The sequence below is a fragment of the Homo sapiens genome, chromosome 2, assembly GCF_000001405.40.
Source record: "Homo sapiens chromosome 2, GRCh38.p14 Primary Assembly".
Classification (NCBI taxonomy): Eukaryota; Metazoa; Chordata; class Mammalia; order Primates; family Hominidae; genus Homo; species Homo sapiens.
Genome location: NC_000002.12, coordinates 121,354,462 through 121,377,186, shown reverse-complemented (window position 1 = coordinate 121,377,186; position 22,725 = coordinate 121,354,462). Strand labels below are relative to the sequence as shown.

General features: G+C 43.9%; 1 protein-coding gene across 35 annotated transcripts in view, besides 1 other annotated feature; it reads left to right on the top strand.

The window, feature by feature from the left end:
• The window catches only part of CLASP1 (cytoplasmic linker associated protein 1), a 311,687-nt gene that overhangs the window by 272,276 nt on the left and 16,686 nt on the right, over nt 1-22,725 (top strand). For all 35 annotated transcript variants that reach the window (XM_047443792.1, XM_047443782.1, XM_006712383.2 and 32 more), the window contains 3 exons: nt 9,356-9,599; nt 11,903-12,093; nt 13,887-14,015. In XM_047443792.1, coding sequence (XP_047299748.1) covers nt 9,356-9,599; nt 11,903-12,093; nt 13,887-14,015 — 564 coding nt within the window. The remainder of the gene's footprint in view (nt 1-9,355; nt 9,600-11,902; nt 12,094-13,886; nt 14,016-22,725) is intronic.
• Nucleotides 4,084-4,133: an enhancer, noted in NCBI's record as "active region_16463". NCBI's record gives its function as "activates an Ori minimal core promoter by ATAC-STARR-seq in GM12878 lymphoblastoid cells {active_cell/tissue: GM12878}" and the evidence as "EXISTENCE:reporter gene assay evidence [ECO:0000049][PMID:35858748]".

Here is a 22,725-nt window from a genome sequence, read left to right as displayed (position 1 = left end):
AATAAACTGTTGTTAACTGTATTTACCCTACAGTACTTTAGAGCAGCAGTCCCCAACCTTTTTGGCACCAGGAACTGGTTTTGTGGAAGATAGTTTTTCCACAGACCAGGCCAGTTGGTGGGAGGATGGTTTGGGGATGATTCAAGCACATTACGTTTATTGTGTACTTTATCTCTATTGTTACTACATTGTAATATATAATGAAATAATTATACAACTCACTATGATGTAGAATCAGTGGGAGCCCTGAGCTTGTTTTCCTGCAACTAGTTGGCCCTGTCTGAGGGTGCTGGGAGACAGTGACAAATCATCAGGCATTAGACTCTCATAAGGACCACGCAACCTAGATCCCCTCGCATGCACAGTTCATAATAGAGTTGACGCTCCTATGAGAATTTATTGCTGCCATTGATCTGACAGGAGGCACAGCTCAGGCAGTAATGTGAGCAATGTGGGGTGGCTGTAAATAAGATGAAGCTTCACTCACTTGCCCACTGCTCACCTGCTGTGCTGCCTAGTTCCTAACAGGCCACAGACCAATACCAGTCTATGGTCTGGGGATTAGGGACTCCTGCTATAGAGCATTAGAACTTATTCCTCTTACCTAGCTGCAATTTTGCAGCTATTAACCAGCCTGTTTTCCTCCCCGACCCCCCCCCCACCCCTTCCCAGCCTCTAGTAACCACAGTTCTACTGTCTACTTCTATGAGCTCAACTCTTACTAGTTCCCATAAATGAGTGAGAATATATGATTTCGGTCTTAATGTACCTCATTTATTTCACTTAATGTCCTCCAGTTCATCCATGTTGCTGTGAATGATAGGCTTTCATTTCTTTTTATGGCTGAATAGTATTCCATTGTGTATATATGTCACATTTGCTTTATGCATTCATTTGTTGAGGGACACTTAGATTGATTCTGTATCTTGGCTATTGTGAATAGTGCTATAACAAACATGAGGGTGTAGGCATCTCTTTGATATACTGATTTCCTTTCTTTGGATAAATTCCCAGTAATGGAATTGTTGGTTGTGTGGTAGTTCCATTTTTAGGTTTTTGAGAAACCACGATACTGTTTTCCATAATGGCTATACTAATGTACATTCTCACCAATGGTATATAAAAATTTCATTTTCTCCAAAACCTCACCTTTGTTATTTTTTGTCTTTTTTATAATAACCATAAAATAGTATTAAGAGGCCCAAGGTAATTAATTTTACAAAATTTCAAAAGAGCAACCCTCAGCTATCTTTTCAAGGAATGTTAAGTGCCTTTTTTCTCAGTTTGCTTTTGTTTATTCTGGACATAGTTTTGTTTCATGATGTAATAAAAATAGTGAGCCTGAACCAGACACCACCATGGCTTTCTGAGAGCTCCAGTCTCATGGGAGAGGCAGACAGATAAGCACAGGATCATGGTGCAGTGAGTATGGCCACTGCTCAGCATCCAGGAGACCCGTGGCTAGTTGTGGTGCCTAGGGAGGATGTTGTATTAGTCAGTTCTCACACTGCTATAAAGAACTACCAGCTAGGTGCGGTGGCTCACACCTGTAATCCCAACACTTTGGGAGGCCGAGGCGGGTGGATCATGAGGTCAAGAGATCGAGACCATCCTGGCCAACATGGTGAAACCCTGTCTCTACTACAAATATAAAAATTAGCTGGGCTTGGTGGTGCACACCTGTAGTCCCAGCTACTCAGGAGGCTGAGGCAGGAGAATTGCCTGAACCTGGGATGCAGAAGTTGCAGTGAGCCGAGATCGTGCCACTGCATTCCAGCCTGGTGACAGAGTGAGACTCTGTCTCAAAAAAAAAAAAAAAAAAAAATCAGAAACTAGGTAATTTATAAGAAAAGAGGTTTAGTTGACTCACAGTTCCACAGGTTGTATGGGAGTCACAGCTGGGAAGGCCCCAGGAAGCTTACAGTCATGGCATAAGGAGAAGCAAGCACATCTTCACATGGTAACAGGAGAGAGAGAGTGAAGAGGGAAGTGCTGTACACTTTTAAACAACCAGATCTCATGAGAACTTACTATCATAAGAACAGCAAGGGGTAAATCTGCCCCCATGATCCAGTCACCTCCTACCAGGTTCCTCCCCCGACATTGGGAATTACAGTTTGACATGAGATTTGGGTGGGGACACAGAGCCAAACTATATCATTCTACCCCCGGCCCCTCCCATATCTCATCACCTCACATTTCAAAACACAATCATGCCTTCCCAACAGTCCTCCAAAGTCTTAACTCATTCCTGCATTAACTCAAAAGTCCAAGTCCAAAGTCTAATCTGAGACAAAGCAAGTCCCTTCCGCCTATGAGCCTGTAAAATAAAAAACAAGTTAGTGACTTCTAAGACACAGTGGAACTACAGGCATTAGGTAAATGCTTCCATTCCAAAAGGGAGAAATTGGCCAAAACAAAGGGACTACAGGCCCCATGCAAGTCTGAAACCCAGGAGGGCAGTCATTAAATCTTAAAGCTCCAAAATAATCTCCTTTGACTCCATGTCTCACATCCAGGGCACACTGATGCAAGGAGTAGGCTCCCAAGGCCTTGGGCAGCTCCACCCTTGTGGCTCTGCAAGGTACAGCCCCTACAGCTGCTTTCATGGACTGACATTGCGTGCCTGCGGCTTTTCCAGGCACACAGTGCAAGCTGTTGGTGGATCTACCGTTCTGGGATCTGGAGAACTATGGCCTTCTTCTCACTGCTCTGCTAGGCAGTGCCCCAGTGGGGACTCTGTGGGGGCTCCAACCCCACATTTCTCCTCTGTCTCCCCTAGTAGAGGTTCTCCATGAGGGCTCTGCCCCTGCAGCAGACTTTTGCCTGGACATCCAGGCATTTTCATACATCCTCTAAAATCTAGGTAGAGGCTCCCAAACCTCAATTCTTGCCTTCTGCATACCCACAGGCCCAACACCACATGGAAGCTACCAAGGCTTGGGGTTTACACCCTCTGAAACAATGGCCCAAGCTGTACGTTGGCCCCTTTTAGCCATAGCTGGAGCTGGAGCAGCTAGGATGCAGGGCACCATGTACCAAGGCTGCAGAAAGCAGCAGGGCCCTGGGCCTGGCCCACAAAACCATTTTCCCTCTTAGGCCTCCAGGTCTGTGATGGGAGGGGCTGCCAAGAAGGTCTCTGAAATGCCCTGGAGACATTACTCCATTGTCTTGGCTATTAACATCCGGCTTTTAATTATTTGTGCAAATTTCTGCAGCCTTGAATTCCTTCCCAAAAATGGGTTTTTCTTTTCTCCTGCCTGGTTGGGCTGCAAATTTTCCAAACTTTTACACTCTGCTTCCTTTTTAAATATAGGTTCTAGTTTCAGGTCATTTTTGTGTTTATGCAAATGAACAGAGGCTTTTAGAAGCAGCCAGGCCACATCTTGAACACTTTACTGCTTAGAAATTTCTTTCACCAGATACCCTAAATCATCTCTCTCAACTTCAAAGTTCCACAGATCTGTAGGGCAGGGGCACAGTGCTGCCAGTCTGTTTGCTAAAGCACATCAAGAGTGACCTTTACTCCAGTTCGTTATCTTCATCTGAGACCACCTCATCCTGGACTTCACTGTCCATATCACTATTAGCATTTTGGTCACAACTATTCAACAAGTCTCTAGGAAGTTTCAAACTTTCTTTCATTTTCCTGTCTTCTGATCCCTCCAAATTGTTCCAGCCTCTGTCCGTTACCCAGTTCCAAAGTTGCTTCCACATTTTCAGGCATCTTTATTGCAATACCCCATTTCTGGTACCAATTTTCTATATTAGTTAGTTCTCACACTGCTATAAAGAACTACCTGAGACTGGGTAATTTATAAAGAAAAGAGGTTTAATTGACTCACAGTTCTACAGACTATACCGGAGGCCTGGCTGGGGAGGCCTCAGGAAACTTACAATCATGGCAGAAAGGCAAAGGGGAAGCAAGTATGTCTTCACATGGTGGCAAGGCAAGAGAGAGAGCGAAGGGGGAAGTGCTACACACTTCTAAACAACCAGGTCTTATGAGAACTCACTCACTATCATGAGAACAGCAAGGGGGAATTCCACCCCCGTGATCGAATTACCTCCCACCAGGTTCCTCACCGAACATTGGAAATTGCAATTTGACATAAGATTTGGGTGAGTACACAGAGCCAAACCATATCAGATGTGCAAAAGAGATTATGTCACCTCTGAACTGAAGCATGGAGGTCCAGAGGAGTTTGTTAGGTCGAGTAGGAGGGTTATAGTCAGGAGGGCCTGTTTGAAGACTAAGACATGGATGTAGGCATGGTGTGATTTCCTATTCGAAGTGGCTGAAGTGGAGAAGAGTGGGCATGAGGAGTGGTTGGGGAGATTCAGAGCAGGAAGGATGTGCTCACTGGGGTATTCCCAGCCAATGCCTTGACTTCACCCTGGTGATACTGGAGTCATTGAAGGATCTTTAAGCAGGGAAGTGGCATAGTCATACTTATATTTTAGACAGGCTACTGTAACTATGGAATGGAGAATAATTCAGAAGGAAGTGGGATTGAATAGGGCATGAGCAGAAACAGAAGAATCAGAAGTCTTCTGGGGCTGTCGAGCAAATGCTAGTGCAATTCAGTGAAATATTACCCTAGAAGGAGATGCTCTCTTTGAAATATAACGAATTCTCTTTTGAATACATGCAAATTGCAGGAATTATGGAATATCCAAGCAAATATATCCATCGAGACTTTGGATATACCAGTCTGTTTCAGCCAGTGATTTAGGCAGAAGTTAGATATTTGAGAGATATTGATTAGTTGCTTGAAGATAACTAAAGAAAAGTAAGTGAAATCACCAGGTAAAGGATAAGGACAGAATCCTAAGGAGCATCAACACTAAGGGAAGGACAGAAGCTAGAGCTGACAGGAGGGAGACCAGGAGAGGGTGGTGGCATAGAAGATAAGGGAGACTATTTCAGGAAGGACATTCTAGCCAAAGGGGCCATGCTGCAAAGAGATAACAGGTCACATATGAAATGAAAGGGCTCCATTGGATTATTTGCTTATTATCCACATTAAATGTTCTATTTTAACCTAAAAGATATAAAATACACATTTACTTGCCAATGTTTTGATGTAAAGTTAAGACCTTTCCTTCGAGAATGGGCTCACTGGATTTCCATGTTTTTCTTCTTAAATAAACTTTACACGTAGTTACAGTCTGCAATATCCAAAGTTAGTTACTTCCAGGAGTACATTGGATCTTGTGAGCACAGTTGAGTGCAGAGTTGAGAATGGAAACCAGATCACAGTGGGTGAAGAAGTTGAGGAACAAACTGGAGAGAAATAAGGATCAAAGGGCATTTCAGATGGGAGAGATCTCTCCCAGCAGGGCCAGTGGAGAGAAGAACCTTGCCTACACAGTGGAGGAGAGCAGATGATTGGATGCGATCCTTCAGGACGTGGGGACGTGAGATTAGGGCCCAGGTAGAATGACTGGTCTTAGCTAGGGAGGAGGGCGGCTTTAGGGGCTTGAGGCAGGAAGTAGAGCGTGTTCCCACTGCCGGTTTCTCAGGGCAGTGGAAGGAGGCCTGCTTTGAAGCGGGGGACTTGTTGTGAGGAATGGGGGAATCTGACTAGGGAAACAGAACTCCTATCAAGAACAGTAGAAAAGATGGATGCGTGAGGGGTTACTTTTTCCAATTATGGTGGCTCACGCCTGCAATCCCAGCACTTTGGGAGGCCAAGGCAGGAGGATTGCTTGAGCCCAGGAGTTCAAGAACAGCCTGGGCAACATAGGGAGACTCCTGTCTCTACAAAAAAAAAAAAAATTTAATTTATCTAGATGTGGTGGTGTGCACCCTGTAGTCCCAGCTACTCGAGAAGCTGCAGTGAGAGTATTGCTTAAGCCTAGGAGTTTGAGGCTGCAGTAAGCTACGATTGTGCCACTGCACTCCAGCTTGGGTGACAGAGTAAGATTGTGTCCCTTAAAAAAATATATATATATGTATATATACACACACACACACACACACTTAATATGTGCCCAAAAAATGATACTTAGAAAGTGAAAAAGAAGAAATCACCATCTCTAGAGATAACCAGTGTTAACACTATAGGGTGTATTTTTCTATTCCTTTTTGTATATTTATACATATATGTGTGTAGGGGAGTGTGTGGAGTATTGCTTTTGTAAGAGTAATATCACACTGTCCATCTGTTGAGCATAGGGCATGAGTGCTTTTCCGTCAGTTCCTGTGTGAGTTGTGGCTTCTCAATGATTCCTCCTGTGGATGATGTTCTGTAGATGGGCACCCAGTGTCCTGTTTCAGTATATTTAGATGGTTTCTGATTTTGTCAAGTGTAAAAATACTGTGATGAGAGTTGAAAGAAGTGAAATTTGGGAGGGAGAAAATAAAGAGGGCAAGGCCTGGGAAGCCTCAGTGTCACCTAGGGACAGGTGGAGTGGGGGGAGTGCAGTGGCAGAGCTGCAGGGCCAGGAGGAGTCAGGAAGTGCCATGAAGATGCTGCATGTCAGAGCAGTGGCTGTTCCTGCTGGAGAATGTGGCCTCGAGCAGCAAAGCTAGGGTGGCAGTGAAAATCGAAGAATGGACCAGGCATGGTGACTCATGCTGGTAATCCCAGCACTTTGGGAGTCTGAGGTGGGTGGATCACCTGAGGTCGGGAGTTCCAGACCATCCTGACCAACATGGTGAAACCCCATCTCTACTAAATACAAGAAATTAGCCAGGTTTGGTGGCACATGCCTGTAATCCCAGCTCCTTGGGAGGCTGAGGCAGGAGAATCGCTTGAACCTAGAAGGCGGAGGTTGCAGTGAGCCGAGATTGCACCATTTACACTCCAGCCTGGGCGACAAGAGTGAAACTCTGTCTCAAAAAAAAAGAAAGAAAATCGAAGAATGGAGGAGCTTCACAATTCACCATCTTAGCCACCACTTACCATATGTTTAGTTAAAACATTGAGGTGGATATAAAACTGTGTTAAATGTGAAAGACTCGGGAGCCAGTACATCTCCTCTTAAGCCTAACAAGGAAACCCAATATAGGGAGACAAGCCAATAGGATGAATGTCAGATGCAGTAGGAGGGTGATGCACACAGCAAAAATGAAGACATTCAACATAGGGAGAAAGCCCATCCTTACGGTCAATTACAGAAATACAGCAGACTTATATCAAGGTTCTCTTCTGCTTTGCTTTAATAGAAATTACAACATTTAATACTAGAAAGAGCATAAGGATCTAGTGTAATGTTGGTGCCATGGGAAACTGATACAATGTTTTGGAACTCAGTAAAATTATATTTAGCAAAAGTGATTTGCATATTCTTTACCCAGTATGGTTAATCTACACTAAAGAAAGAACTCAACAGAAGAAAAAAAAATGTCATTTCCATAAGATAGCTTATTTCAGCATTATCTACAGTAGCAAAAATATTAAAGGGGAACATCTGAGTAAATCTTTTTTAAAACACAAGTAGAGGTAGTGGTGTGATTAAACATGGTGGTTACAAAAACTTCATCCACACGGGAAGTGCTTGCACTGTAGGGAAAGGAAAACAGAAGCCAGCGTGCACACCGGGTTCCTGCTGCGTAAAGCCTGCGTGGAGACACACACTGAGGGAGTAAGGTTTTGTTGTTAACAGTGATTAGAATTGGGAGTTGAGCTTTATTTTTTAAATGTCTGAAATTTTTAAAACCCTTCTCTTTTTTTGTTTTTTTTAAACCTCCTGTTCAATGGCTTACCTTTTTTATAAATAATTTTTCATTATAATGGTATTTTTAGAAGACTTATAAAAAGAAACAATTAAAACCATCCATGAATTTTCTTCCACCCAGAGAAAACCTCTGTTAAGATTTGATTTATACCTTTTTAGTCTTAATTTGTTTCTGTCTACGCATATATTATGTATTATTTTTACATCTTAATTATAAAATTTTGTTTGTGGGTGTTAGAAACCAAATGCATCCCAGCACCTCCACTAGATTCAAGTCCAAAAGAATTGAAAGCAGGGACTTGAACAGATGTTTGTGCACCAGTGTGTCATAGCAGCATTATTCACAAGAGCCAAAAGGCAAAAGCAATCCAAGTGCCCATCAGCAGATGAACAGATAAACAAAATGTGGTATATACACACAGTGGAATGTGTTCAGCAGTTCCACTTATCTGAGGTACCTAGCATAGGCAGATTCCAAGAGACAAAGTAAGATAAAGGTTACCAGGGGTTGTGGGGAAGGGAGAGGGATGAGGATGCAGGGTTTTTGTTGGGAATGATGAGAAAGTTTTGGGTATACATAGTGGTGATGGTTACACAACATCATGAATGTATTTAATGACACTGAATGATCAAAAATGGTATGTTAGGAATGATCAAAATGGTATGTTACATCTACTTTTCCAAAACCGGAAAAAAGTGTAAATGCATTAGCACAAAGTGAGAGAAATGTATCTTGTCATCAGCACAAGTAAAAATTTTGCCATAGGTGTCACCAATGTGTTCTGGCTGCCTGGAATGTTTCCACCGTTGTTGGGTAGTCAGATGTTTGGGATGAGGAAAACAGTCTGTCCCCGTTGCCAGCAGCCAGCCCACACCTGCTGGGCTACACTGCCACCTACAAAGGGGCTAGACCAGTGGTGTGCCCCACAGCAGAGGACCCTAAAAGCAAAAGTGATTTGCTCTTGTCGATACCATGTCAAGGGCCCAGTCAGAGGGCCAGCGGTTGAATTTGTTGAAGACAACATTCAGAATATACTAGGGAAAAAAAAAAAATTTGGGAAATACTAAAGTCCTGTTCTTTGACCCAGCATAACAACTCTGAGTCAGAAATATCTAAAAGAAGAATGATATGCCTAGGAGGTGCTGAGTTCTCTGTCATAGGAGATTGTGAAGCGCCGAGGCCCAGCACTAGGCAGGAATACATATAGTACAAGGAATTAATCTGGGGATGGATGACACCCATTAGACTTAATGATGGCGGTTGGAGGAGCTTCTGTCTGTGGATGTGGGCCAGGGCCGCAGTGAGAAGCCCCCGTTGCTGGTCTGGTGCTTGAAAGCAGGGGTGTGAGTGGACAGCCTTTCCTTCTCAAGGAAAGGCTTCTGAGCCTTTCATCCCTCAGAAAACATCTTGGTAAAGTGGATCATCAAATTACAAAGTAAAGGAGATTTAAAGCGTAAAGACTAGATGCAAATAAATGCAGGTATATTGTTCCTTTTATGGTAGTTTACGGATTTGGTATTTTTACATTGCAGTACTAGTAGCTGTCCTTTTGTCACTGGCCATACATATTTCAAGTGAAAATCTCTGGCCTTCTTAATATTTCTGAGCATTCAAAGGAAATGTCCATTACAAGTCCCAGAAGGGAACTGACAGTGTGCTGTGCTGCAGGTGTCCCGCGATGGGGGCGCTGCCTCCCCTGCCACTGAGGGCCGGGGGGGTAGTGAAGTAGAAGGAGGCCGGACAGCTCTGGATAACAAGACCTCACTACTCAACACCCAGCCTCCGCGCGCCTTCCCGGGGCCGCGGGCGCGAGACTACAACCCGTACCCCTACTCAGATGCCATCAACACCTACGACAAGACCGCCCTGAAAGAGGCTGTGTTCGATGACGACATGGAGCAGCTTCGAGACGGTTGGTGTCTCTTTTCTTAACTGTCCCCACCCAGAAGTGCTTCCCTTGTGCTCCCTCCCGTCTGGCCAGCACCAGGCCCACTGGTCAGATGTAAATGGAGACGCTGGGTCTGTTCTTTCTGCTTAGTCATTTGTTCAGGCACTACTTAACTGAATCCCTACTGTGCGCTTGGGCACGGGGAACATGGCAGTGAACAGAAGCACAAGTAGCGGGGCAGTGAGGAAATAAACAGTCACACGTGATATGAAGTAGCCACTGCCACAGCTGAGCATGAGGGAAGGCCAACTCTACCATCAGGAAGGTTTTGCTGTAGAACCCAGGGCCCAGGTAGGCCAGGGGTGTAGGAACAAACAGGATGGCGAGCGCGGGCTCAGCCTTTGTGAAGGCCTTGGACCTGCTTCCCAGCTCCCCGAGCTGTGGAGTGAGATCCTGAAGCACTGCTCTGAGGCTTCCCTCTCCTTTCACACCTGCTTTGTAACCAGGTCTCCCTGGAGCTGTGTTGACCTCCGTGCTGCATTTGGGAGGCAGGGGTTTGACATACACACTGAGCATTTGCATTACCATGTGTGGTGCCAAGCTAAGTATGGGGTCAGAAAGATTTGCCCAAAATGTAACGTAAGCATATAACATAGGAAGTAGGGAGCAGAAGCAGAGCTAGTCTGGTTTCTTTCTGGCTCCTGTGTTAAGACCAGTGTCCATTACTGAATAAACTAGTGAGTGATGAGTATGTATTTGTACAATGGTGTTTTTTTCGGGAACTGAATTATTTTTTCACCTCTCATGTTACATGATTTGGTTTATTTCGATTTGATAGTGCTTTTAAAAAAATATTGTTTTGAAGCCTGTTTTATTTCTCAAGTTTGAATGAGTAATTAGAACCTACATTAGAATTCTAAATAGTTAACATTCACTAAGGGCCTACCGTGTGTCATGAAGTGTATGGGTTGCCAGGGACCGAGGCACATGAGACACAGTGCCTGGCCTCAGAGAGCTCAAGGTCTGTCAGGGGAGCAGACTGATAGTGGTCACACTAGTACCAGAGAAGGCCTGTGCTGGAGGCAGATGCCAGATCCAGTCGGGGCACAAAGAAAAGAAAGCTGATCCTCTTGCAGGGATCAGACAGTAGGGGAATGCTAAGGTAGAAGAGGAGTTCTCTGTTTGAAAGCAGAAATGGCTGTAGGGATTAAAAGCCTAATCACTTGGCTATTAATTGCTTATATGCTGGTGGGTAGCATCTCAGACTCTGCCCACACATCTGTTTACTGGACAGTGAGCTATTAGGGTATAGTGTTTGTAAGGACTGGCACTTCCTGGGAGAAGTGGACTATTTGTTTTCATTGCTTATAGAATTGTTTACCTTATCCTTTATAGATCTTGATTAGGGTAGAAATTACAGTGTTGGTTATTCACCAACTGTGTACTAAAAGGCTTAAAGAAAAGGAGGAAAAGATAGGAAGGCAGGAGGAAATGACAGAGTTCTTTACCATTTCAGACTTTCTTGTGTGTTTGCTACCCAATCTTAGAAGCTAAAGAAGTATGCAAATACACATTTAAGTAGTTCCTAATAACTTGTCTGATTTGTTTGTTTTTTCATCCTCTCTATTTAAAGTTGAATATTCAGAGTTCAGGTTTCTTAAAAGAACATGGAGGAGAAAGGATGTGCCTTTCTGCCATAGAAACCGTGTTCACAGCCCTGCAGGTAACTATGTTGAGTCATCTTGGGCCAGTTTTTAGTCTCCACATAGATAGTCCACCAGTAGTCCAAACACCTTGACTGGTATTTGTTCACCATGCTGGTTCCTAAGCTGTAGACATTTGAGAAGGGAATGGAGGATAATCAGATGTGATGGTGAGGAGGCCTTGAGGAGTATGTGTGTATGAGAGTAGATTTGACCCTGGTAAGAGGCTGTCCAGTGGTGGGTCTGACTCAGGACCATGGCAGTGGGAGAGAGTTTCAGAAAATAAAAGGGTTGAGGAGGGGCTTTGGCGGATACAGGCATTTCTTCTCTTTGTCTGAAGTAGAAGGGAAAAGATAGCAAGGAAGGGTGAAGACATTGACTGTTGGTACTGGACAGCTGGTCTCGCACCTCTGCTTTCACAGTGAACTTGGTGAGAAGGTTGGTGGAGGGTGTGTAGGCTGAGGCCGGACAGCGAAGCAGGGCGGAGGGTGGGAGGGGAACCGTGAAGGAGGCATCGCCTCTGGGAGAGGAGGCAGGAAGGGAAGGATCACTGCGCACCACTGAGCAAGCCCCTGTGCTGGGCATTTCCTCACGAGGTGACGTATGTCTGGTGTGTTTCACCAGTGCCCATCGACCATTCTGACCTGGTGGCTGACCTTCTGAAAGAGCTGTCCAACCACAATGAGCGAGTGGAGGAACGGAAGGGAGCCCTGCTGGAGCTGCTCAAGATCACGCGGGAAGACAGCCTTGGTGTCTGGGAGGAGCACTTCAAGACCATTCTGCTCCTGCTGCTGGAGACCCTTGGAGACAAAGACGTGAGATGCTGGTTTGGCCTTATCTTGCCCCTTTCCATGTAATGGGGTCACGATGTCCTTTTCTTATTGGGCTTAGCTTCAGCTTTACTTTCTGGGTTGTGCTTACTGTTTACATCAAAACATTTATTTGTTCATTTTTCACATATTTTCTGAGCACGTTTAGTAAGGTCATGTTTTTATCAGCAACAAGCTGCTGCTTGGCTTACGTGCATGGTCTGCAACTGGGTTTATAGTAGTTGAGGAAACTTCATTCCTGCATCTAGTTGCTTTAACACAGAATTTCTTAAAACTTTATTAGCATAGAATGTGGTCTTTTAGGATGTACTTTTTTACTTGTGAGTTTCATTTTTGTTTCATATGTAATTGAGAAAAAGTTTCATTTTAAAAGACCTGATTAAATGCTACATTCCATGAAATTCCATCTTGGTCCCCCCCTACATATGTTAAGAGTTCCAATAATTTTAATCAGTCAAGTGGCAGGTTCCAGAAGCATGATTCTGATTTTTGTATTATTAATTTAAAAATAAAAAAAGCTTCATCATGCTGGGACACTTGAATGTGACAAACTAGGCATTTCTGACATGCCTGGTCTGTGATCTGCACATCGCACATAGAGAACTCTTAAAGGGGGGAGTAATCTGGTCAAAGTCCTGCCTTCTCCCACCTGTGGAGCTGGTCCCTTATATGGAAACAGGAATAGATGCTGAGAATTACCAGAATTAAACCTCTACAAGAAAAAGTTTCTCCATCCACATGGAGAAGAGAAATGAGAAGAGAGTGCTGTGGGGAGGGGCTGGAGGAAGGGGATGGGAGGATTGCCAGGAGGTGGCAGGCCATGCCCAGGGCCAGCTAGAGGGGACTTGCATGGCAACTGAGTGACAGGGAGGCTGCTGCATGCCATGCCGTGGTGACTCAGATAGCTTTCTGATGCTTTGGATTAATGGTTTGGTTTAGGGATAAGTAAAAATAGAAGAATGGTAATAAGTAATCTGTTTTACTTTTTTAAAAAAAACTTTTTAAAAATACTTTTAAAAAAAACAAAGTATTGGCTCGTAAGGCAGTTATGCCTTGTTGGCTCTGTTGGGAGATAAAGTGATGTCATGTAGAAGACAGGTAAATGGTGTATTAGTGTGTGAACTGTACAGATGAGTGGCAAAGAATCAGGATGTACTTTCTGGCTCTGTTTGGTGTAAACTACGTTCTCTTTTATTGAGATCAGGAGTCTGTTTGGAATGGCTTTCCTCCAGATGCGTGACTCTGGCCTTAACCAACTCGAGGCCTGTACACACCCAGTGATCTCATCACATGGAAGGTCAGGAATAATGACAGGCCTTCCACTGTCCTTAGGTGGAGTTCACTCTTACAGGCTGTGTTGATGAAACATCCAGGTGCTTTATACACATTCTTTCATACATTTTACAGAAGCATAATTTGTAGCCTGAAGCCTCAGGAAATCTGGAAATCCCCAGAAAACTGATAATGAACTTAGGTATATCATCCTCATTTGGTCTCAAGTGCATGGCTCGTTCAAGTAGCTTTTCTCAGTGCCTGTCAGGCGCTGGGTCCTGGGAATGTCACCCTAAGGCACAGTGCCTGCCTTCATGGAGCTGATGTCTAGAGAGCCAGTGTCAAGTAAAGCTGATTTCAAGTGAACTGTGTGATCTGTTTAGAGGGTTCTGCGAGGTTCCAGGGAACCCAGAACTGGGTGCTTGGCCTTGCCGACCCTGCTGACTGCTGTGTGTGAAAGTGCTGTGTGGTGTTTGGTGATGTCTTCCTTTCCCTTTGTATTCTAGCATTCAATTCGAGCACTGGCGTTAAGAGTTTTGAGGGAAATTCTGAGAAATCAACCAGCAAGATTTAAAAACTACGCCGAGCTGACGATTATGAAGACTCTGGAAGCCCACAAAGACTCCCATAAGGAGGTGAGTCAGTCATGTGGCCAGGGGTGCTGAACAGACGGGTCATGAGGAGCAGTTTGGACATGGAGATAGAGGAATCAGAATCAGTGCACAGCTTAAGAGCCCCTTCCTTGGAACTCAGCCATGTCGTAATACAGAGTGGAGTCCCCATTGCTGTCGTCCTTGCTGAGCAGTGGCATAGTTCCAGGGCCAATGCCATTTGTTCAGTTCCTAGCTCCTGCTCACTGTTTCCAGCAGGCCTGCCCTGCCCCTGGGATGTGTTCCATGTCCGTGCTTCCAGCTGCCTTTGTGGAAGGGAAGGGTCTGCTGCTGCTTTCTGGCATTTAGCCTCTGGTAGTCTGGTGTGGGAGGTGGAGACCAGCTTTGGAATCACAGACATGCAAGTCCCAGAACCAATGCCTTCTTGCTCCAGATAAGTGGACCAGTCATTTCACCTTCTGAGCCTCCGTTTCCTTGTGTGTAAAATAGGAATGGATATTTTCACAAAGTTTCTCATGAGAATTAAATGAGATGACCAGGGATGATTCCAGCCCAGCGCCTGCCAACAGTGGGTAGCAGGCTGCTGTACTGACCTTCCTCCCTCCCAGCCGTTCAGTGTGCTTCTCTCTGCAAGATGAGGCTGAGTGGTGGCAGCCCTGCTGTGCCTCTTCCACTCACTTTTGAGTATTTAAAATGCTAGCAAGCTATCTCTGCAGTTCCTGGCATTGGGACCTCAGCTACCTGGTAGAGAGTGGCAGGACATGTCTCTGTGTCCTGCACACATGCCACAGAGGGTGCACACTCAGCAAAAACTCAGCCTGTTGCTTATTGGATTGTCCAGCCCCTATGCCTCACCAGGCTTTCAAGTGGCTAGAAGCCTACAGAGAATGGGGAGGTGGCAGGAGCTGTCCAGATACAAATGATTCAGTGACACCCTTCAGTAAAAGGAACTGTGGGAAACAAACTCATATATTGGAACTTCAGAAAACTTAGCATGCCAGGTAATGGGTTTGACCCCAGAGTGAGACATAACAACTTGCTTAGTTTGAGCTCTTGGCTCATGTGTGACTGTCGTGTGAGCACACTCGTGGATGAAGGGAATTATAGTTAACACAATTCTTCCGTCTACATAGAGAGTCAGACCCTAGATCATAGTTCTGTTTGGCGTTTGTGTGACTGCTTGAGCAGTGACTGATGTGACCTCTTCAAATCTCCACCACAATTGTAGCTCAGCAAGGGCGAGGGTCTTGTCCTCAGACTGGGCCTCTCTTCACCTGCTAGTCCTAGAACAGCACACAGTACACAGGGGATGGATGTGTTTTCAGACTAATAACTGGGTTTCCAAAATCTGGCTTGGTTGCATGATGGTGATAATAACTCACATTTGAACAAAGCACTTTTCATTTATAATAACTCATTTAAAAAACGTGAAGACCAGATGAGCTAGTACGATCAACATAGTGATTCCCAGGTGAGGAGGGAAGGTCCTAGAGCAGGGGTGTCCCATCTTTTGGCTTCCCTGGGCTGCGTTGGAAGAATTGTCTTAGGCCACACATAAAATGCACTAACAATAGCCAATGAGCCTAAAAAAAAACCACAAAAAATTTTCATAATGTTTTAAGAAAGTTTATGAATTAGTGTTGGGCTGCATTCAAAACCATCCTGGGCCACGGGTTGGACAAGCTTGTCCTAGAGGAACTGTATGCATAGCAGTTACTGGCAGAACTGAGACATTAGCTAGGTTTTGTGTCTCCGTTAAGGGGCAAATGGCATGTGCTAACTTTTTTAAACCATAATTGCTTCTCCTTAATGAGAATACGTGATCAAAAAATGAAATTAAAATGATGTTCTTTTTGTTGTGCTTTGTATTTGAGACAGGGTCTTGCTTTGTCACCCAGGCTGGAGTGCAGTGGCACAACCTGTGCTCACTGTAACCTCCACCTCCCAGGTTCAAGCAGTCCTCCTGCCTTAGCCCCCTGAGTAGCTGGGACTACGGGCATGAGCCACTGCACCTTTACATAGAGATGATATCAGTTGTTTTCATGGGGCAGTACATACTTAGACTCGGGCATTTAAATGAAATGCCAAGCCGTCCATGGTGTCTTGGCACGCACTTACCGACTCTCCAGTTGGAAGATATCTGTCTAAAGTTGAGTCCTAAGAAGTATAAGTTAACAACATTAAGTAATTGGTTTGTTATTTGCTTTTTTCTTGGGAGATTTTTTTTTTTCTGCAAAATTAGAAATTTAGGAGAGAAAATTCTCAGGTATGAGGCCCTTTAAATTGCCCAAGGGAAAAGAGCAGAATATATATCCTGCTTAAAATAAACTTAGCAGCACTCGGGTTCAAGGGTCCCCATGCTGCTGTTACTGACTTGTGGTAGAGCTGGTGGAGGAGATGTGTTGGGAACGGTGCCTGCATTGGCAGGCCTTCCTGCTTTGCATAGTTTGACTCACCTTGACTCATTGCCCTTGGAGTTTCCTTATAAAACTTTACTCTGTCACTTTGCCAGGAGCCACTATAATAACTCAAGAACCTGTGTATTTAGGTTTGAGGTTGGGTTTTCATTTTTCGTTCCTTTTTTTTTTTTTTTTCTTTTCCCTTGAAGTTCTTCTTATCTTCCTCTTATTTTAACCAATCTTTTCCCATTCCTTCTTGCCATTTTTTAGGGCAGAAGGCTGAGATGCACATAAAGTTTGTGTTGTAGGCATCTTGTTGGCATATTAATATGGCACGTAATAGTTCTCTAGTCCTTCCATTTTCTTATCATTGCATTCAATTCTTATGACTCCAAACATTTATTGAAAAGGATCTGAAATGTTTCTAGACTTACTTTATTAGTCATACAAAGTCATAGTCTATTTTCCTGTCTTATTAATACTTCCAAAGTTTGTTTATCCCAAAGTTAGCTCTCTTGGAGCTTCGTTCTCAATAAGAAGCTAGTTGGTTTTATATTCCCAGACAAAAACTGGGCTTCAGCAGGAGATGAAGAGCGTAAGACTCGGCAGGTTAACATGGGGCTGCTTTTAGAGATATTGGCACCAGCTGCCCTTCTCTTGCCAGCGTGACGTTACCACACCAGCATGTGCACTGTGGCTCTGACTATGTGACTGCAGCGAGGAAGGACAGCTTCTTGAAATACAATTTCTGTAAATTGAAATTTGTCACAAAAGCTGTTTGGGAAGATGGATGAGATAGGACTGACGATAAGATGGCTTGTTTTCTCATATAAGCAAGCGTCTGCTTTGTCAGTTTCTTTCAAAAGAAGCTATATGTGCAGAATGTGTTTCTTACACATTGAAAATGTGCCAAGTACCAAATCTGTCTCAGACACCATTCATCCAAAGCTAACATACATGTTCTATAGTAAGCAAGATAGATGAAGGATTTGGACACCAATTTAGAGTTTTTATTTTAAAATTTGGTGTTTCTGAGCTTAGACATAATGTTTTCATAGTCCCTATTTGAGTAAGTCTCTTTCATTATCTAACTTCTTTATCTTTTTAGTAAATAAATTTTGCTATTGAGTTTCAGTGCCTCATTAATGAAGTTACCGTGGTTTGCAGTAGAGTTGGCATTTAGCAAATACCTTAAAGGGCTAAGGCCTTGAGAGTGACCTTTTAAAATTTTGAGCCCATTTTCTGTTTCCAAGAGAACTCCATGAATTTGAACTCTTCTTATATTAGAATTTGTAATCTGTTTGTTAGAGCTGGTACAGAACCTCTCCTTTGGTGATTAAAAAGAGAGGATTAAATAAGAGAATTGATACTACAAAGAGATTCTGGGGTCAGTGTGAGATAAAAATCTTGAGGCAGAAAACCTGGTTTTTAGTCCTGCGTCTGCTGTTGTCCAGCTGTCCCCAGTTTCATCATCTTAGTATAACCCTGAATAAGCAGCTCTGCTGTGAGAATGAAAGATATTATGATATAGAAATATGCTTTTAAAATTGTCATATGCTATACAAATGTTGCTACATAAAACTGTTCTCAGACATCCTTATTCATTTCAAAAGTGCCCATTTCTCAGGAAATAGTTGATATACTAATTATAAATCATTGTATGCACACTTAATGCAAGAATATTTGTTGCTGCCAGTCAGTGTGATGTGCATATAGTACCCATAATGTTGAAGTTCACAGTAAATGTTTTATTTAAACTTGAAAGAAGCCCAACTGTTTTTTGAAGATATTCTGTAATTGAGGTTTTCTGATCATTAGACTTAGCTTATTCTGAACTTTGCCACATTAGTGAATATCCAGTTACACTTGTCTGTTAAAAGAGGAAAATATTAGCATCATTCATGTCACTGTGCTGGATCACCAAACATTTCTTGCTACACACACAAAGGTCGTGGTGTTTAAGGCACCAGAATCCAGCTTCAAGTGGTTTGGCTTGTTTTGGGAAGTTTGATTCTTAGATAAATATAAAACCACCAGTAGTATGTCTTCAGGGGTTTTATTTTTAAATCATTTCTAGTTAACTTTTTATTTTATGACTTTAAAGAATTAAAATGGCAAAATCAGACCAAAGTTATTTATAAAAGAAAGAGAACTTCCTGGGAACTTGTCTGGTTTCTGATTCGCCCAGCCAGCATGGTATCTCATGCAGTCCTTTAGACAAATGCCATAGTCAGAGAGAAGCACCAGTGTGCCAGAGAAGATATGTGATCAAATACCAGTTAGAATCACTAGCTGACCTCATCTCAGCCAGACCCCCTGCGCTCAGGAATGGCCCTTAGGTGCCTCTCAGGGCAGCAGTCATTTGTATCAATGGGCACTGGGAAATAATATACTGCATGAACTCTGGAGAAATGCCTTTACCCCTCTGTACTTTGGTTTTTCCTTATCTCTTACCCTATCAAGTGGACTAGGTGATTATCTGTGTTTCATCCAGCCTCAAGATAATACAGGTTGCTGTTGAGTAGCAAACCAAAATCCTCAAATTCTAAATTTTCAGTTTTCCCTAGGCCCAACCTTGGGATATGACCAGAAGCCCCATTTCCTTTGTAGGTTTTTGCTTTTTAATAAAAAGACAAAACCCCAAAACCTGTTTAGCTTCATTGAGAGATTCCAAGTTACTGAGCCAGCAGTCATACTAACAGCACAAACTCCAATAAATGTTTGATGATTGATGGGTAGTGGTGTACTGTAGTCTTCAAGGTCCTTACGGTTTAGTTGAGGTTAAAGCAGAGTCGTGTGGTTCAAAGTGAAATACACCAGGAGTTTAGGAGTGGGCTAGAATAGTCAAGGAAGAGTTCCTTAGGGAGTTAGAACCTGAGATGGGCTGAAAAGGAGCACATAGGGAGAGAACTTTAGCTAGGAGCCAAGGCCATGTGGCCAAGGGAGGGGGCATGGGCTTGGAAGACACTCCTGGGTTGAACCCTGCTGAGCCAAGATGGCAGGAGACTTACCATTTTGTGAGCCCTCATATTCTCTGTGTCGAGTGGAGAAACATAGCCCACCTCACAGGCTTGTAAAGTGCCAGGCACAGTGTCTATTTCTGAGTGGCAGCTGTGGTGGCGGCTGCTCCTGCTGTTATTCATAGGTAGGGGAGTAGTTCTGCCTCGCTGATGAACTGACTCTCAAGGAGCCAGATGTGACACCTGCCCTTTAGTTCTTGTAGCTTCAGAAAGAGCCATAACTTAATGTCAAAACCTTTGAGTTTGGGGTTTGAAGGCCTGGGTTCACATGCTGCTTTTGCCAGCTCGGGGGCTGTGATTGTGGACAAGTCATAGACACTCTGGATATCTAAAGCACTTGTATGCTGGGTGGGAGGTGGGGGGCAGGTGTTTTATACCCTGCGCTGAGAGGCTAGCATTAAAGTCAAGTGAGGTAAGGTGGTTGACATTGTTGAAAATTGAAGATAGTATCCTTTTTATACTCTTCCATTGAAGAAAGTAGACTGATTTTGAATAGAATTGTTGTCAAGTTTTTAAAATTCTACATAAAGCAGATATAACTGCATTTCTCTAAATACACCGAAGAAGCTATTAAATGCAATTGAGTAAACTCTAAAACACCAGTCAAAAATACGACTTGTATTTTTTGACTACTGCTTTGTTTGGAATCCGTCTATATTTGTGCTGGGGTAGCCGGTACATTGTCAGCGTTAGGCTAGGAAATGCCATGGGTTTTTAGAGATGGATACCGGAATTAGAATGCCAAAGAGAAGCCTTAAACGTGCTGCCCAGCTTCCCATCTGATGCTGAGCACCTCCTGAGAGGCCAGCCCAGCCTCTGCAGCATCTCCAGGACAGCAGGACACACCACCTCCTGGGCTCCCAGCCCCTCTTTCCACTCCTTCTCATCATTTGTCCCTGTTGGCCCTAGTTCTACCCCTTAGAGTAGAACAGAATAAATCTCCCACCTAAGAACCTGACCACATTTGAAGATATCCATTGTGTTGCCCTGAATCTCCTTTTCCAGGCAAGGATGTGATGACTGTCTTGTTAGAGGTCATTTCATACAGACACTACTTCTCAAGATCTTCAAAGCTTCCTGGAATTTTGTGCATGCACATTTTTCAGGGGAAAAGACTCATCAGGTAGAGTTGGATGATAAGATTTTATAATCTGAAATACTTTTAAAATAATTGATTCAGATTCTCCCTTTCGTTTTACTGATGAGGAAAACCGAGGCATAGAAAGTGAAGAAATTTACCCCAAGCTCGCTTGGCTAGTTGATGCCAGAACCAGAGCCAAAACTCAGGTCTCCAGACTTATAGCCTGGAACTTTTCTTCTCCCCTCCCTCTGGTACTGAGCCTAGCTAAGTGAGGACTCTCGTCCCAGGTTCAGGGCCATGCTGGCACTCCGTTGTAAATCCCAGGACCATGTCAGTGCCAATCTGGGGCATTGGTCGTTTTTCCCCAGTCTACTGGTGGATACTTAAACTCAGGGTCAATCCAATTTTTTAAGGTCTTTCTGGCCTTTCCCAGAAGGTGGCGCTAAACTCTTCCTTAGCTTCCACACGATTGAGTAGCTAAGCTCAAGACGCTGCTATGAAGAGTTCTTTGATTCCAGCCACTGTTGTTCCTGGACCTTTGCTTTTTTTTTTTGACTCAACCAGTTATTCTGGTGTGTCTGTGACAGAGCCAGATCAAACCTTGTGAACCTAAAAAACATGCAATCCAAATTTTGAAAACTTTGTGCTAAAAGAAACCTTTAAGCAAACATTCACCAGTATTCTGAGTAATGATCCAATTTTAAAAAGCTAGATGTGAAAATTACGCTTTTCTTAGCTAGACACTATTACTTCACTGACTTTGAAAGGTGAAGGAGTGCTGTGTTTCTAATGAGACTGTAGCAGAATTGGAATAGTTTTTGATGACTTCAAGGCAGATTATAACCCAGAAGTCTTTTTGATCCTGTCCTCTTTGAATAGTCCCTCACCCCTTTCTAAATCCTTGCCACTTCTGGCCACCTTGTGTACTAAGTGGTGTTGTCTTCCTTTGTTTCTGCTGCCCATGTTGACTTTTGCTCTCTGTTTGCTTACATTTATAATCTTTGCTTCTTATGTTACATAGAACACAGGGGCAAAACCTGAAGTTCACCCTGATTCAGGCAGCTTGCCAAAGCCAGGGGTTTGGCATATAGAGGGAAGTTGAGAACACCTACCTCCCTTGCCAAAACCAGCGTCTGTCTTGGGAAACTTTCTCTAACCCCAGTGAAAAAGAGGGCCTCAAACTACCCATCTTAATGTGCAGCTTCTGACATTTTATTTTCAGACATTTTAGAACCAAAGCCCTCATCCACATTAGATACATTTGATCATCCGGGCGTGGTGGCTCACACCGGTAATCCCAACACTTTGGGAGGCCGAGGTGGGCAGATCACTTGAGGTCAGGAGTTTGAGACCAGCCTGGCCAACTTGGTGAAACCCTGTCTCTACTAAAAATACAAAAAAATTAGCTAGGCGTGGTGGTGTGCGCCTGTAGTCCCAGCTACTCGGAGGCTGAGGCAGGAGAATCGCTTGAACCCACCAAGATGGCGCCACTGCACTCCAGCCTGGGCAACAGAGCAAGACTCTGTCTCAAAATAAAATAAAATAATAGATACATTTCACCAAATGCTTCATGCAGGCCACATCCAGAATTCCTGGATTTTTGTAAGATGAAGGGCTCCTTGGGTTTGGGTTTCAGCTCAGCAGATCTGAAACAGCCTTTTTTCCCAGCAGCTCTCTGTAGGATAATTCACTTTAACCTGAAGGGCAATAGAGTGCAGGAGATGGGGAGGAGAGAAGGAAAACCACGAGTTCTCACCACGAACCCGGCAATCAGTTACCTGGCCTCACTAATCCTCGTTGCAACCCCGAAGAGCACCAGGAGGCCTTAGCTTGCTCCTGTCAAGCCTGGAAAGCAATGCTGCTGACTCTTGAATCCTGTCTCCAGAGCCGTGTTCTTTCCACCCACTGAGCTGCTTCCCACCTCCCAGGGGACCTCAGATATTGACTCCTGTGCATCAGTGCTTTCTAATTTTGATACGCTACAGAATCCGGTGTTTTCTGACCTTTTGTTTCTTTCTCCAGGTTTTGAAAACAGAGGCCTAAAAGTTCCTTAGCTTTCAGGCTGGTGTGTTATGATACTTGGGCAGTAATTTCTTGCACTAGAAAGCCAGCAGTTTCTGAGCATGGTTTCATTGCTAGGCCAGATTAGATAAGAGAGGGACTGTCTCCTTCCACTTTTCACCATCCACTCAGCTGTGTGTAACTCAGCCACATAGGTACACAGCCACGTGCTT